We start from the raw sequence: 15,722 nt of genomic DNA on the forward strand, positions 1-15,722 counted from the left end.
TGACATTAGCTGGTTATTTTGCTCGTTAGTTGATGCAGTTTCTTCATAGCCTCGATGGTCTTTACAATTTGACATGTTTTTGCAGTGGCTGGTACCAGTTGTTCCTTTCCATGTTTAGTGCTTCCTTCAGGAGCTCTTGTAGGGCAGGCCTGGTGGTGACAAAACCTCCCAGCATTTGCTTGTCTGTAAAGGATTTTATTTCTCCTTCACTTATGAAGCTTAGTTTGGCTGGATATGAGATTCTGGGTTGAAAATTCTTTTCTTTAAGAATGTTGAATATTGGTCCCCACTCTCTTCTGGCTTGTAGAGTTTCTGCTGAGAGATCAGCTGTTAGTCTAATGGGCTTCCCTTTGTGGGTAACCCGACCTTTCTCTCTGGCTGCCCTTAACATTTTTTCCTTCATTTCAACTTTGGTGAATCTGACAATTATGTGTCTTGGAGTTGCTCTTCTCGAGGAGTATCTTTGTGGCGTTCTGTGTATTTCCTGAATTTGAATGTTGGCCTGCCTTGCTAGATTGGGGAAGTTCTCCTGGATAATATCCTGCAGAGTGTTTTCCAACTTGGTTCCATTCTCCCTGTCACTTTCAAGTACACCAATCAGACGTAGATTTGGTCTTTTCACATAGTCCCATATTTCTTGGATGCTTTGTTCGTTTCTTTTTATTCTTTTTTCTCTAAACTTCTCTCCTCGCTTCGTTTCATTCATTTCGTCTTCCATCACTGATACCCTTTCTTCCAGTTGATTGCATCGGCTACTGAGGCTTCTGCATTCGTCACGTAGCTCTCGTGCCTTGGTTTTCAGCTCCATCAGGTCCTTTAAGGACTTCTCTGCATTGGTTATTCTAGTTATCCATTCGTCTAATTTTTTTTCAAAGCTTTTAACTTCTTTGCCATTGGTTCGAATTTCCTCCTGTAGCTCGGAGTAGTTTGATCGTCTGAAGCCTTCTTCTCTCAACTCATCAAAGTCATTCTCCATCCAGCTTTGTTCCGTTGCTGGTGAGGAGCTCTGTTCCTTTGGAGGAGGAAAGGCACTCGATTTTTAGAGTTTCCAGTGTTTCTGCTCTGTTTTTTCCCCATCTTTGTGGTTTTATCTACCTTTGGTCTTTGATGATGGTGATGTACAGGTGGGTTTTGGTGTGGATGTCCTTTCTGTTTGTTAGTTTTCCTTCTAACAGACAGGACCCTCAGCTGCAGGTCTGTTGGAGTTTGCTAGAGGTCCACTCCAGACCCTGTTTGCCTGGGTATCAGCAGCAGTGGCTGCAGAACAGCAGATATTGGTGAACTGCAGATGCTGCTGCCTGATCGTTCCTCTGGAAGTTTTGTCTCAGAGGAGTACCCTGCCATGTGAGGTGTCAGTCTGCCCCTACTCGGGGGTGCCTCCTAGTTAGGCTACTCGGGGGTAAGGGACCCACTTGAGGAGGCAGTCTGCCTGTTCTCAGATCTCAAGCTGCATGCTGGAAGAACCACTACTCTCTTCAAAGCTCAGTTGGAAATGCAGAAATCACCCGTCTTTTGTGTCACTCACGCTGGGAGCTGTAGACCGGAGCTGTTCCTATTCGGCCATCTTGGCTCCTCCCCCCGTGCCCTCAAATCTTAAAGCATGCAAAACCATGTAATTGCGGGGCGTTGTTGTTTGTTATATTTAATAATATAACTGAAGTTAAATATATTTAACCCAATGTGGAACTATAAAAACCCTAGTAAAAATATAATTTGTTCTCCAGATTCAGTTCTTCCCGGAGTCCACAAAGTTAGTGGAGGGAAGCAAAGAAAGAACTAAAATGGAAACATTGCCCAGTGCACAGGAATTAACTCTCCCTGCAGCCATTCAACCTTGGGCTCAACATAGTCAAAAGGAAATAGGGCTTTCCAGACAAATCTGGGGAACAGAATCCCGGATGGGTATCTAGCAGTCCTCTTCTGGGTGCTGCCAAATGATGATTAACTGATAGAAATGTATTTCATTCCAATCACTTTACTTTAGCATATTAACAATTCACTTCTAATGATAAAAGCAATAATAAGCACATTATGAAACATATGAGAAATGGAAAAAAATTACTACACCAAAATCCAGGGACTGAAGTACTTTGGATAATATATAGTTTTTACATAGTTATAAGCATATTTTTATACACTTCACATCCTGATTGTTTCACTTTACATTGTTATCAGGAGTACTTTGATGTCATCACATAGTCTTCACAGACAGCATTTTTAATGGCTGCATTTTATTCCATCCAGAAGATAGGCCACAGAGAACCTAACCATTCCACTACTGTTGGACAAATACATTGTTTCTAATTATTTGATATCATGAATTACTCTGTTCTACATTTAACAAGGAATACTTGAGTAATCTATGAATATCTTGTAATGTCAAATATTAACTCAAGGTCATAGCTTTTCAAACTCTTCGTGAGATGAAAAGAACCAAAATACAATTTCACATATTTCTAAAACTTGAGAGTCTTGTAATAAAGTAAAATTATATTTTACAAAGAACAAAGAGTTACTTTCAGTGTCTCAGTTAAGTTTCTTTGGAAATAGGTACACTAAGGAACATTAAATGAAAAGAGAACATATATATGTATGTATCATGTAATAAGAACTGACATTTATCCAGTAAGTAGCATGTGCCACGCACGCATTCTGTTAAGGGCTTTGCCTGTATTAGCTCACTCAATCCTCACAGCAACCCACTTGAGGTGAGCATCATTATTCCTCTTTTACAAATAAGAAAACTGAGGCCCAGGGAAGCTAAATAAGTTGCCTATGTTTTCACAGCATTTGAATCCAGGACTGTCTGATTCCAGAGCCCATAGCTTAACCACTGTACTCTACCATCTCTCATTATTAGCAGTTATTAAAATTTTTTTTACTAAAATATATAATGAAATAAAATACATTAAATTTTATGTGATAATGAAAGGTCCACAGGGACATTTACTTCTAATTTACTAGGGGGTGAGGAGGAACACAAACCATCTATAAGATAATGCCTTATGTGTTCTGTTACTGGGGAATAAAAACATGCTGTAAGACCACCAAGGAGGAAAGCCTGGGGAGTGAGGAGAACTCAGGAAGACTTCACAAAGTAGGTGACATTCGAGGTGTGCCTTGTAACATAAACAGGATTTCACCAGACAAAACAGGATGTGGAAAGCAAGTAGAAGAGAAATCCAAGCCATCAGAGTTAGAGGGAAACAAAACAAAACTAATCAATAATTGGGTACAACATTTGAAACTCCGTCTTTCAGGGTAAGCTGCTTTAGTTTCTCTTCTCTGAGTCTTTCCATGTCGAATCTCCATTTCCTTCCTCTATTAAAACTCAATTACTTCTCACCCCTTCCTACATCACAGTTACTCTGTTTGGCTTTAACACACAGCAATTTAGCAGGAGAGTTAGGAAGAGCACATACACAGTTTTTTTTTTCTTTTTTTCTTTTTTTTTTTTTTTTGAGATGCAGTTTCACTTGTTTCCCAGGCTGGAGGGCAATAGCTCGATCTCTGCTCACCACAACTTCCACCTCTCGGGCTCAAGCGATTCTCCTGCCTCAGCCTCCTGAGTAGCTGGGATTACAGGCATGTGCCACCACACCCGGTTAATTTTGTTTGTTTTTGTTTTTGTTTTGTTTGTTTTTAGTAGAGATGGGGTTTCTCCATGTTGGTCAGGCTGGTCTTGAACTCCTGACCTCAGGTGATCTGCCCGGCTCAGCCTCCCAAAGTGCTGGGATTACAGGCGTGAGCCACCACATCCGGCCAACACATACACAGTTTTACAACAAAGATCCATTCGCCAGGAACTTCCATGAAAGGAACAGGACTGTTTGCTGCACTGAGAGTAAATCTGTTTGGGCAGCAACACATGGGTTTGGAGCACCCACATCCTCCTCCCCTTTCTCAAGAAAATGGGGAAAGGAAAAAAAAGGTAGGGAGCAGAAATGGTTTACTAGTTTTGGAAACTCTAGGGAACTGGTTCCATGGAGATTTTTGCAGCCTACCCTTGAAGACTGTACAACTCGGGTGGGAAATGGGGTTAGCTATACAAAAGCTATACCTTACCCAGTTATTGGTTAGTTTTGTTTATTGGCAGCTGCTTTATTTAGGGAAATGAACTTCTATATAAGGCACAACAGGGAGTAAGTAGATCAACAGTGCCAAGGAAAAATAACACCTGGAGGAGGCACTGTGGCTGGTACTACAGAACAGTGACTCCAGCTCTGTAACCAGACAGGAGTCACATTACAGTTGGACTCAACTGCAGATGGGAAAAGCTCATAATCAAACTTCTTTGTCCATGGCAATATTATGGGTAATATCTGTGATGAATTATGAGTTGCTGAGAGCACAAAAGAGTGATCTACATTTATTATGAACCCATTAACTATTTGTGAATAAAGCAGCTGCTGCTACAGGTGACAAACTGCCTCCTACATGGGAAATAATGATTGTAAAGTAGTCAATGCATTGGAAAGAGCACTGGACTAACAGTCTAATCCTAGGTCTATAAGCTTTGTGACAAGTTAATAGTCTTTTGGAGATTCAGTTTACTCACATGTGATATATGGAAATGATAAAATAACTTCCCTGCTTGGCTCAGTTTGGTCCTATTGGGAAGATGAAACAGATGAAGACATGAAAATACTTAGAAATTGTAAAGCAGCTATAAAGGATTTCACTTAGTATAATAAAAGCAGTGAGCTTCACTTACTCCCTTACCCGGAAATAAGCAAAGGCCAAGTGATCCAAGGCATCTTCTAGACTTGCCTCATCCTCTGTCTTCCACTCTCCGTAAGATCCTCGGAAGAGACTGACAGCCTCCTCCAGCCATGGAATGGCATGGTAATAATCCCCCATGTCATAGGCCACCTACACAGAACACAAGTACCATCGCCAAAGCCTTATTCCACAGGTAGAAAAAGAAAATGACAATTCAAAGAATAAGAGGGACTTTGGAATCCAAGAAGGCAGGTTTTAATTTCAAATTCATTTTAATTCAATTTATTAAGCATCTACTATATACAACGCATTGTACTACGTGGAGAGGAGACATAAGGGTTCTTGCACTTAAGGAATTTATAATCTGAAGGAAAAGAGAACATGACCTCAATTAACTCTAATTTGGGACAGAATATCATGAGTGCTCCAAAGAAAATGTATACTATGCTGTGGTGGCACAGGGAAGGGAGGAGACTTGGGAATCTCAGAAAGCTTCATGCAAGAGGTAGCATCTGAGACAGGCCTTCCTTGAAGAAGGAAAAGGATATCAGTGAGCAGAGACTGGGAAGAAAAGCATTTTAAGATGAGGGAATGGCAGCAACAGAAATCTAAAGCAAGAATGTGTTCAAGTAGTCCATCGTGGCTGTAGCTAGGGTGAAGAGAAACAAAAAGTAAACTTGAAACAGCAGCATGGGCTAAGCAAATTACAGTCTTGAATGTCATATTTTTAGGAAGATATTGCTGGTAGCAATGTGAAGAATGGATTACATTCATTCATTCATTCATTTATTCAATATTTACTAAGTATTTTCTATGTGCCTAGTGGCCCTGTCCTGTAAGAGCTTAAATCAAGACGGGGCACATGAGTAAGCCAATAATTGTAACACAATGCATTAGACACCATAATGAAGGTAGACATGGGAACGCTATGGAAGCTCAATGGATCTGTTCTGTATTAAATGCTGGAATGCTGGCAACATGGCAACACGTACCAGACACAGCTCCTGTCTCCTCATAGTTTACAGTTAACTAGAATACCAGAACTGCAAGTGGAATTTCCTGGAAGTTGATATTGGAGACAACATGGAACTGTAAAGTTACAGACTAGGAAGAACTCTTACAAAATGATCTAATTAGGGTGTAACTTCCTGACAGGGAAAAATCCTAGAGATATTGCAATTCTGCAGCCTAAACAATAAATCATTTTTCCTTCAAGTCTGCCATTAACCTGTTGTTTTATTTTTCTGCACCTCAAGTCCTATTTGTAAAAACGTTGAGCTGAAAAATGCTAAAAATGACTGAACTTTTCATGCCAAGTTAATTTGTTTAATTAAGATTTCCATGAGTAACTTCAAGTCCCAGCAATATGGTAGACTGAAACAACTGGAATCCTTCCGAACACAAATTCGGACACTTTGAATAAACTATAAAAAGCGTTTTATTATATATTTTCAAGAAAAAAAAAAAAAAAACAACAGAAAATATCAGGTACCAGAAACAAAAAAGGGCTAAAAGCCCAAACCATAAGCTTATGAGCAGATGCTGATGTTCCCTAGGATGGGGGTGGGTGTTAATCATAGTAACCTTGGTGTTCAGTAACCTTGGGTTATAATGCCCATATGAGGATAGAAGATGAGCCATCCTTAGACCTGCCCCAAGCCCAGGAACTGGAACTAAGACACCCTCATGAAACTGGATTCTATAAAAAACTATACCTTAGGAGAAAAGGTAGACCAGAAAAAAATTTGCTTGCTATCTTAATGAGACAAGAATATTTGTTTGTTTCTGTCTAGCTCTGTGTAAGAATATTCTCAATTTTGAGCCTCTACTTCTGGTGAGTATAGGGTTTGAATCTGCAATATTCATATGGTCAAGGAACTCCTATGTCAATAAATAAATATAAAAATGATCTAAGGCGAGTGAGAGCACCAGAGTTTCTGGAAGAAGAACACCCAAAACTCTCTGGAGGGATATTCCCACAACTCTGGGCACATGGATTCTCTTAGGGGGAAAATGTCCTGCTGAAAATAAGCTCCCAAACATGAAAACTATATCAGGAAATAATCCATCATGAGCAAGAGTCAACAGACACAATAGCACGATGATGGAATTAGACAATTAAGAATTTCAGAAGATAGGCTGGGTGCAGTGGTTTATGCCTGTAATCCCAGCACTTTGGGAGGCTGAGGCAGGAGGATCACTTGAGGCCAGGAGTTCAAGACCATCCCGGGCAACACAGTGAGACCCTTATTAAAAAATTAGCTGGATATGGTGGGGCACACCTGTAGTCCTAGCTACTCGGGAGGCTGAGGTGGGAGGATCACTTGAGCCCCCCCAGGTGGGAGGATCACTTGATCAAGGCTGCAGTGAGCCATGATTGTGTCACTGCACTTACTTGGATGGCAGAGCAAAACCCTAAGAAAACAAAAAGAATTTCATAAACTAGAAATTTCATAATCCATAGAGGAAGGGATCGGGGAAGTGTAGATGAAACAAATTTGGCCACATGTTGATAATTATTGAAGCTTATTCTGTGAGTTGGCGATACCACTCCGAGGTATTCATCCAAGAGAAATGAGAATAAATGTCCATAGAAGGACATAAAAGGATGTTAATAGAAGCTTTATTCACAGTAGCCCAAACTAGAAGCAATCCAAGAATCTGTCAACAGGAGACTGGATCAACAGTTTGTGGTATATTCTTAGAATGGAATACTACTCAGCAATAAAAAGAAATAAACTACTAACAAATGATACAATATGGATGAATTCCACAGATACAATGTGCTGAATGAAAGAAGCTGGACTTAAAAGGGCACATACTATATGGTTCAGGATCGCTGCTACCTGGGCAAGGGTGGAGCAGAAGGGATGGGGGGTGGCGAGGAGGATGAGTGGGGTTTTAGCTGTATGTAACATGTTTTTTTTTCTAATATATATTTTTAAAAATGAAACAAACATAGCAAAATTTGAACATATATTCATTACAATAATAGATATAATTGCTTGTTATATTATTTTATGTTCTTTTCTTATATTTGAAAAGTTTTCTCTCTCAAAATAAGTGAATAAATATAGAAAGAAAGATTGCCAGTAAGACTTCCAGGAAGTGACTTACTAAATTTTCAACATACGGTTTTACTTTCAGAAAGGCCTCACTAATATGTTAGTACCATACATTAAACTACTTTACCTGGCTTAAATTTAAATCAGCCATGAACATGATGATTGAGCTCTGATTCCACTCAGGATCCCAGAAAAGAGAAAACAGTATGTAGAGAGACTCAAGCAGCCTACTCTGCCTTAATTTGGAAGACTGACTCCCAAAACTTGGAATCAGGACACATGAGACCCACTCCCAGATCTGTTGATGAATACTGTAGGAGTCAGGAAAAATACACCTTACTGCAATAAACATCTTCAAAGTTAAAATGGATTTGCTCCATTGCTTTTTATAGCAAAGGCTGGCAAAGAGTATATTACAAAATGATCTCACGTGTGATTACAACTTATAATCAAAGATCAGTTAAATACCTCAGATGGGGGGCGGGGGTGTTCCTGAAGTCTATTTCCTCAAGTAATGTTAAAGTGAATGGCCTTAGATTTTGGACACTACTTTAATTTTGTACTTCCAAATGCTTAGGAAATGTTGCATTGGATTCCAGAAAGTCTCAGGAGGCTGTTTCCGTGATCTTACCTTTCCATCACCATCTCTTATCCTTTTCCCCAACCTTGCGTCCCTGACCCCCTGCTTTCCCTTTCTACCCAGGAGTTCATGCACTGGCAGGGTGCTATAGTTAGGGTGAACAAAGGACCATTTTTCCTAGTTCATGTCTGTTGTTCTAGCATAATTAATAACACCCCTTTCAATCTCAAGAGTGTTCTAAGTATATAAACACCTTAACTACTATGGAAAGGGCCTGAGATTTGGAGTCAAAAGACTGGGTTCAAGCTTTAGTTCTGCCCTTAAAATTGCATAATCTTAGGGCAAGTTATTTACCCTCTCTGAATCTTGTTTTCTTTCTCTGAAAATGGAAATGATATCAAATTTCCAAGTTTACTGTAAGTATTAAAAAGAAGTAAAATCAATCGGTACATAGTTATTTTATCCATAAGAAACCAGAGCCAAGCAATTGGCCCTCTCTTGAATATTGTTACCTTGCCAACTTGGAAGCAGTCATCCCCTGTGAGAGAAAAGAGCCGTTTGGGGCTGTACAGGTCAGTGATGGCAGAGCCAGTGACTCTCTGAAAGACACCTCGGGCCAGGCCTTTCACATTGAGCATGTACACGTCCTGCAGCCGCATCAGGGCCCTTGCTGCTCCCTCAAGGTCCTCAAAGGCTGGAAGGTCTTGCTCCACCTTCTCATAGCCATCCTTCAGAGCTGTAAAAGTAGTAAAAACATCAACCCAGCATTCAAGAAACAGGAGTTGGGCATTTAATACATGTAAGGCATGACCACCTGTTCAAATATTTAATGACATCAAGTTGGATTTGTCTTTGTGTTCCCAGAGGCAAGCACAGTTCCTGGCACAGGGTGGATGCTTAATGCAATTCTGAATGAGGAACATTCAGAATGAGTGAATGAGGAATAAAAATTAAGGCATACAGCTTCATTATATTGTCCTATCCTGTATGTTTACAGGAGTCTCACTCTTTAGGGAGACAACTCTTCTTTTTCTTTTTCTTTTTTTCTTTTTCTTTTCTTTTCTTTTTTTCTCTTCTCTCCTCTTTTCTTTCTTTTCTTTCTTTCTTTTAATAGAGATAGGATCTTGTTCTGTTGCCTAGGCTGGAGCACACTGGCATGATCATAGCTCACTATAATCTTGAATTCCTGGGCTCAAGTGAGCCTCTCACCTCAGCCTTCTGAGTAGGCAGGACTTCAGGCACACGCCATCACATCCATCTAATTTAAATAAATTTTTTTGTAGAGACAGGGTCTTGCTATGTTGCCCAGGCTGGTCTCAAACTTCTGGCCTCAAGTGATCCTTCCAACTCAAGCTCCCAAAGTGTTGAGATTATTGGCATGAGCAACCACACCCAGACTCTTCTCACTGTTAGCTTTCCAAAAATCAACAAACTTCTTTTTTTTTTTTTTTTTTTTGAGACAGGGTCTTGCTCAGTCGCCCAGGCTAGAGAGCAGTGGCGCAATCTCAGCTCACTGCAACCTCCACCTTCTGGGTTCAAGCAATTCTTGTGCCTCAGCTTCCCAAGTCTACAGGCATGCGCCACCATGCCTGGCTAATTTTTGTTATTTTTAATAGGTTTCGCTATATTGCCCAGGCTAGTCTCGAACTCCTGAGCTCAAGCAATCTTAGCCTCCCAAAGTGCTGGGATTACAGGCATGAACCACTGTGCCCAGCCCAAAAGTCAACACTTTTTTTTTTTTTGAGACAAAGTCTCGCTCTGTCACCCCAGGCTGGAGTGCAGTGGTGCGATCTTGGCTCACTGCAACCTCTGCCTCCCGGATTCAAGCAATTCTCCTGCCTCAGCTCCCGAGTAGCTGGGATTACAGGCATGTAATCCCACGACTCCCCGGTAATTTTTGTATTTTTGATAGCGACAGGGTTTCACTATGTTGGTTAGGCTGGTCTGGAACTCCTGACCTCAAGTGATCAGCCCACCTCAGCCTCCCAAAGTGCTGCAATACAGGTGTGAGCCACCGCGCCTGGCCGTCAACAAACTTCTTACAGCACAAAGTAGAATAAATTAGGAAAGTGATCTTGCTATAGATGACACTGTAGTGACAATTTAATGAAACAGAAACTACTAGAAGACCGTTATTTTCTATACATATATAAATGGAAGGCTTGTACTTTGTCACAGGATTGTAGTGAACATCAAATGAGACAATTGATATGAAAGTGCTTTCTAAGGTATAATCATATAAACTGATTAGCAAGCGGGCCTAATTCTTTGTGCTAGCTAGAGCTAAGGATATTAAGTAATACCCACCTACTCCATTACCCTTTGAAATCACATCCCAACAGAATCTCTCTCCTTACCACCGAGTCAGGAGATAGAATCTTCTCTCTTACCCTCCAGCCCTCCTCCTCATTACCTCGGATGTTCTCACTGGCCTCCAGACTATGTACCACATTCCTCCAGTCAGACTGCAGGCGTTTGATGAGAGTAAATGCAAGCAGAGGGTTAGCCACAGGGGTTGTTGAATCCTCATGCAAAGAAAGTACCTTGTCGTAGAATCTGAAAGAAAGGAGTAGAATGATCTCACCTCCTGATACAACCACTACACCTAGGGAAGGCTGGCATGGTGTGTGTACATTAAGAGTAGCTAACACTGACATGCTGAACCTCTTGAGATTCACATAATAGTCCAACCAAAAAGCCATGCAAGCCCAAAGAATATGAAAACTATAGATACAACAAAAGTAGGTCCACTCTTTTGTTCACTGAATGAGTCAGTCTATATTAATCAATTACTGTATTTCAGGCACCATGCTAGAGATATAAAGGCAAGACAGGGTCCAGCTCTCAAAGGGATCACAAAGTCTTTTTCTCCTGTCATCACTGTATATGCAATACTTAGTATCTGGTAGAAACTCAAAAACACTATTGAATTAATTATAACCACTGTGATATGTGCTATATAGTGGTCCCCAACCTTTTTGGCACCAGGGACTAGTTTCATGGAAAACAATTTTTTCCACGGACCGGGGGGTTGGGGGATGGTTTCGGGATGAAACTGTTCCACCTCAGATCATCAGGTACCAGTTAGATTCCTATAAGGAGCACACAACCTAGATCCCTCACATGTGCAGTTCACAATAAGGTTCACGCTCCTATGAGAATCTAATGCCGTGGCTGATCTGACAGGAGGTGGAGCTCAAAGAGTAATGCTCCCTTGCCCACCACTCACCTCCTGCTGGGGGGCCCGCCTCCTAACAGGCCATGGACTGGTACCGGTCCCTGGCCCAGGGGTTGGGGACCTCTCTGCTATGAGAGAAGTGAGCATATAATGCTGCAGCTGTGCAGGCAGGGCAGCTCATCCAGGTGGGAGTTAGAAGGGGGAAGGAAAGGCTTCCAAGAAGAGATGGCATGTGATCTGAATCTTGAATGATTTGTTAAAATACTGAAAGCTATTACTTATTGAGCTCCTACCATGTATTGGCCTGTTGGGTGCTCTAAATAGATTGTCTCATTTAATTACCCCCCACCTTCCAACCGACCCTTAGTGTAGATTTAATTTTACCCATTCCACAGAGAGGAAACTGAAACAAAGCCACACTGTTAGTAAAGGGCAAAGCCAGGATGGAACCCAAGTCTGACTAACTCCAAAACCTGGGTTCGCAGCTGATTATGCTATATGGTTTCTTAAGGAGCTAGAACAAAGAAGAGAAGAAGAGTATTTTTCAAGCCAACAGGAACCATTAGTGTACAAAGGCACAGAGGCTTGAGATATATTTGTAGTAAGTCAATCTACACGAGTTATTTGCTAGATGTCAGACTCCATGCTAGATTCTAGGGATACAAAGGCAAGACGAGGTCTAATACTCAAGGATTTCATGGATAAGAAAATAACTTTTTTTCTCATCATTCTATACCTAAATTCAATACATATTTCTATGAAAGAAAGAATGAAGTATACTCTCCTAGGAGCTAGGGACAAAATTCTGAATAAGGAAATAATCTTGGTCTCAAGGATCCACAGTTTAGTGAGTAAGAAAGACACAAATAATTACATTACAGATGCAATACCAGATTTAAGAACAAGGCTTAGTGGGGAGGACAGAGAGGGGATGATTAATTTGGCCAGAGCAGGTTAGAGAAGGCTTTAAGTGAGAGTGGTACTGTTGAAACTATGACTTGTTCACATATATAAATGTGTGAGAGGGTGGGGAGGAGGCCACTTCAAAACTGCAAGCACAAGACAAGGAGACTCTGAACCACGACAGCGATGGAGAATGGACTGGGTTCAAGGAAGGAGTTTAGGAAGTGGTGATGACTGTAAAGGGGAATAAGAGGTGGGATCGTCCAGCACACTTCCAACCTTTCTAGCTTGGCAACAAATGCAGAAAAGGGCAGAAATGGTAGGGCCTGAAGTGATCATCTTTCCAGTTAATTTCCCTTCTCCAGTGTCCTTCAACAGTGTTTATATAGGCAAAAGATGCTGTTTCCTTTCCTAGTATACTCTGGTTAATTCCATTTCTAAAACACCAATGGAATTTATATTACTGAAATTTATTATCTATAACAGGGCAGATTAAGGTACTATTCCTGCTCTCCAAGAGTTTTCCCGCTCGTTTTAAAATTATCAACTTCAAAAATAGTATAACAAGAATGGAAGTAGAAGAAAAAAAAGTTTGTGCAAAGTGAAAAAAAATGAACGTGTGCAAGAGCACAGGAGACTATGAGTCCTTTGGCAAGAGTGGGCGACTTCTGCGAGGAGACAGAGATGAAAGTGAAAAATAGAGGAAGTGGCAAGGTGGTAGGATTTCAACCCCTTGGAGCAGAGTCTTATCTGAGGATTTCTAAAGAGTGAGGTCCTCAACTATGAAATGAAGCCTGAAATAGAAGACGACTGCCTTGAGGCTTCCAAGGAGCCAAATGTTCAATTCAACATAAACTAAGGAACAAGAACCTGGACCTGGGTCTCCCAGTGGGGAAATGGGAAGCCTGTCAAGTCCCAGGGTGTCTCTGATCCCAAAGACAAGGCAGTCTGTGAGCTGAAGCTCTAGGGTTTTGAAATGAAACCAGCCTCCAGGGTGTGGGATCTTTACTACCCATTGTCTCCTGCTTTGGCTCCGTATGGAACTACTTAGGGAAAGATACTCCACTGCTTGATGAAAAATCTTAACAAGCGGAGACTTGGGCTTGAGTCCAGCTTAAAGAGTAGGTGTCCAGGAACAATTGAGGCTGAGAGGGCAGTGATTTTATAAGACAGCTGGATAGGAAGGAACTGGGACTTATTCTGACCCAGCCTCCAACTATCACTCAGTTTCCTCATCCATAAAATGAAGGAACTGATCTAGTCTAGAAGATTTCTATGGATCTTTTCAGCATGAACATTCTGTTATTTCTTCTCATCACCCCCTCCACAACTGAATAAACAGATTCCTCATTAGCTTGAGGACTAATGTTTAATAGGAATCAGAGGACACTGAGGCACAAAGGTAAAGTGGTAAAGCAGAGAGGTGAATATTTGCCCCAAGTCATGCATCAAATCAAAAGTGCTGTCTACTTCCTTGTTTTCTTAGCACCCCTCTTTGCATTTTGGGGTTGATTTGTTTAGGTCAGGGTTTGATCTCTATTGCAGCACATCAATTCAATCCAGTGTTTAGATATGCCATTTTTCTGTCACACAAAGAAAAAAAATCTCTCAACTGATAACTGAGGTTGGCTTAGAATCCAAAAGTTGGCCCTATGCCCAGCCTCTGAGCACATAGCGGTTTCCAGAGACTGGAAACTGAGTTACTGGATGCTGAATTCAAACCTCAGGGTTTCCTAAATGTCTTTTTGCTTTAACAAATACTGCTGAGAATGGAAAATCAGATCCTTTCCTTCAAGAATCTGCACATAAAATTTGCAACCCAATCCCTGCATTAAACATAGCCTGGGCAGGTTATCCAACCACAATACATGGGCTATTTCACTTCAATATGTTTTGCCTTTGGAATTCAGAAATGGTTTTGTATCAGTTCTTCTGGGACATTATTAATGCTTAATCCTTAGCACAGAAAAAATTGCTGCTGACACTTCTCTCTCACTCTTGGTGGTGTTTTAAACTGCAAAAACAGCAACAACAAAAGCTAGGATAAACTCTTTTTATATATATAACTAGTATATGTACCATACTGGCATATAACTATATATACTATAACAAGTATAATTTTTATTCATTAACTTGGAGTAGGGAGTAGTTTCAACCTCAAGAATACTGCATTTTTCTATCTCAACTGAGAGCCTTGGAAATAGCCTCTCAAGTTACATAAAATCACCAGATTGGGAGTATAGAAAAATTAGCAAGAACTGCCAAAATTCTTGTTTTAAAAGGCAAACATAAAGGCTGGGCACGGTAGCTCATGCTTGCAATCCCAACACTTTGGGAGCCCGAGGAGGGAGGATCACTTCAGGTCAGGAGTTCAAGACCAGTCTGGGCAAGAGAGCAAGACCCCGTCTCTACCAAATCAAACCAAACCAAACAAAAACAAAAACAAAAAAACCCTAGCCAGGCATGGTGGTGTGCACCCGTAGTCCTAGTTACTTGGTAGGCTTAGGCAGAAGGATCACTTGAGCCAGGGGTTTGAGGTTATAGTGAGCTATGATAGAGCCACTGCACTCTAGCCTGGGTGACAGAGCAAGACCCTGTCTCTTAAAAAGCAAACATTTCACTGGGTTTTAGAGCAGTCACTAGAGAACAGAATGACAGAATGACAGTCTTCAAAATATCAAACTAAACTACAAAATTAACTGTTCATAAGTCACCTGAGAAAATAATTGAGAACTTTTCTGATTTGTTTTTTTATCTAGGCTGTCACAATCCTAGTTAATACTTAGAGCCAAAAGTGGGGCCTAGTTTCACTAGATGGTCTTAAAATAAAATAAAATAAAATAATAAGCATAAAGGCTTAGCATTTGTCCATCAATTGTTACATGCCAGGTACAATGATAAAAACTTTTACATGGTACTCTTAATCCTTCCAAAAACCCTATGGTGGTAGGTACTATTTTTATCATCATTTTACAGATTAGGAAACTAAAGCTCAAAGAGGTAAAGTAACTTGTCCAAGATCAGAGCCAACGATTCAAATAGAGGTCTGTTAAACTCCTGAATTCACTGTTAACCACCATGTACTGTGGCCACTAGTAAAACCTCAATTAGTTAGGGGCTTGGTCTATGTCTTGGTATAACAGATAAAAGAAGTGGTAGGGATAACATAGCATAGTAGGAAAAAAGTTGGATAAACAATCAAAACAACTGTGTCCTAGTCCTGGATTTGCTACCTATTAGATTTATTAATACAATCTTGAGTGAGCAACTAGAC

General features: G+C 40.7%; 1 protein-coding gene across 8 annotated transcripts in view; it reads right to left on the reverse strand.

Moving 5' to 3' along the window:
- P4HA3 (prolyl 4-hydroxylase subunit alpha 3) overlaps window positions 1–15,722 on the reverse strand; it is a 61,495-nt gene that overhangs the window by 43,344 nt on the left and 2,429 nt on the right. For 6 of the 8 annotated variants that reach the window (XR_007062475.1, XR_001747837.2, XR_001747836.2 and 3 more), the window contains exons 2-4: window positions 10,781–10,923; window positions 8,880–9,103; window positions 4,723–4,872 (exon numbers count right to left, since the gene is read on the reverse strand). Coding sequence is in view for 3 of the 8 variants with exons in the window: in NM_001288748.2 (NP_001275677.1) it covers window positions 4,723–4,872; window positions 8,880–9,103; window positions 10,781–10,923 (517 nt within the window). In the remaining 5 variants the exon portion in view is untranslated. The remainder of the gene's footprint in view (window positions 1–4,722; window positions 4,873–8,879; window positions 9,104–10,780; window positions 10,924–15,722) is intronic. The other 2 variants (NR_110031.2, XR_001747838.2) reach the window with 2 other exon arrangements.

The sequence above is a fragment of the Homo sapiens genome, chromosome 11, assembly GCF_000001405.40.
Source record: "Homo sapiens chromosome 11, GRCh38.p14 Primary Assembly".
Lineage (NCBI taxonomy): Eukaryota > Metazoa > Chordata > Mammalia > Primates > Hominidae > Homo > Homo sapiens.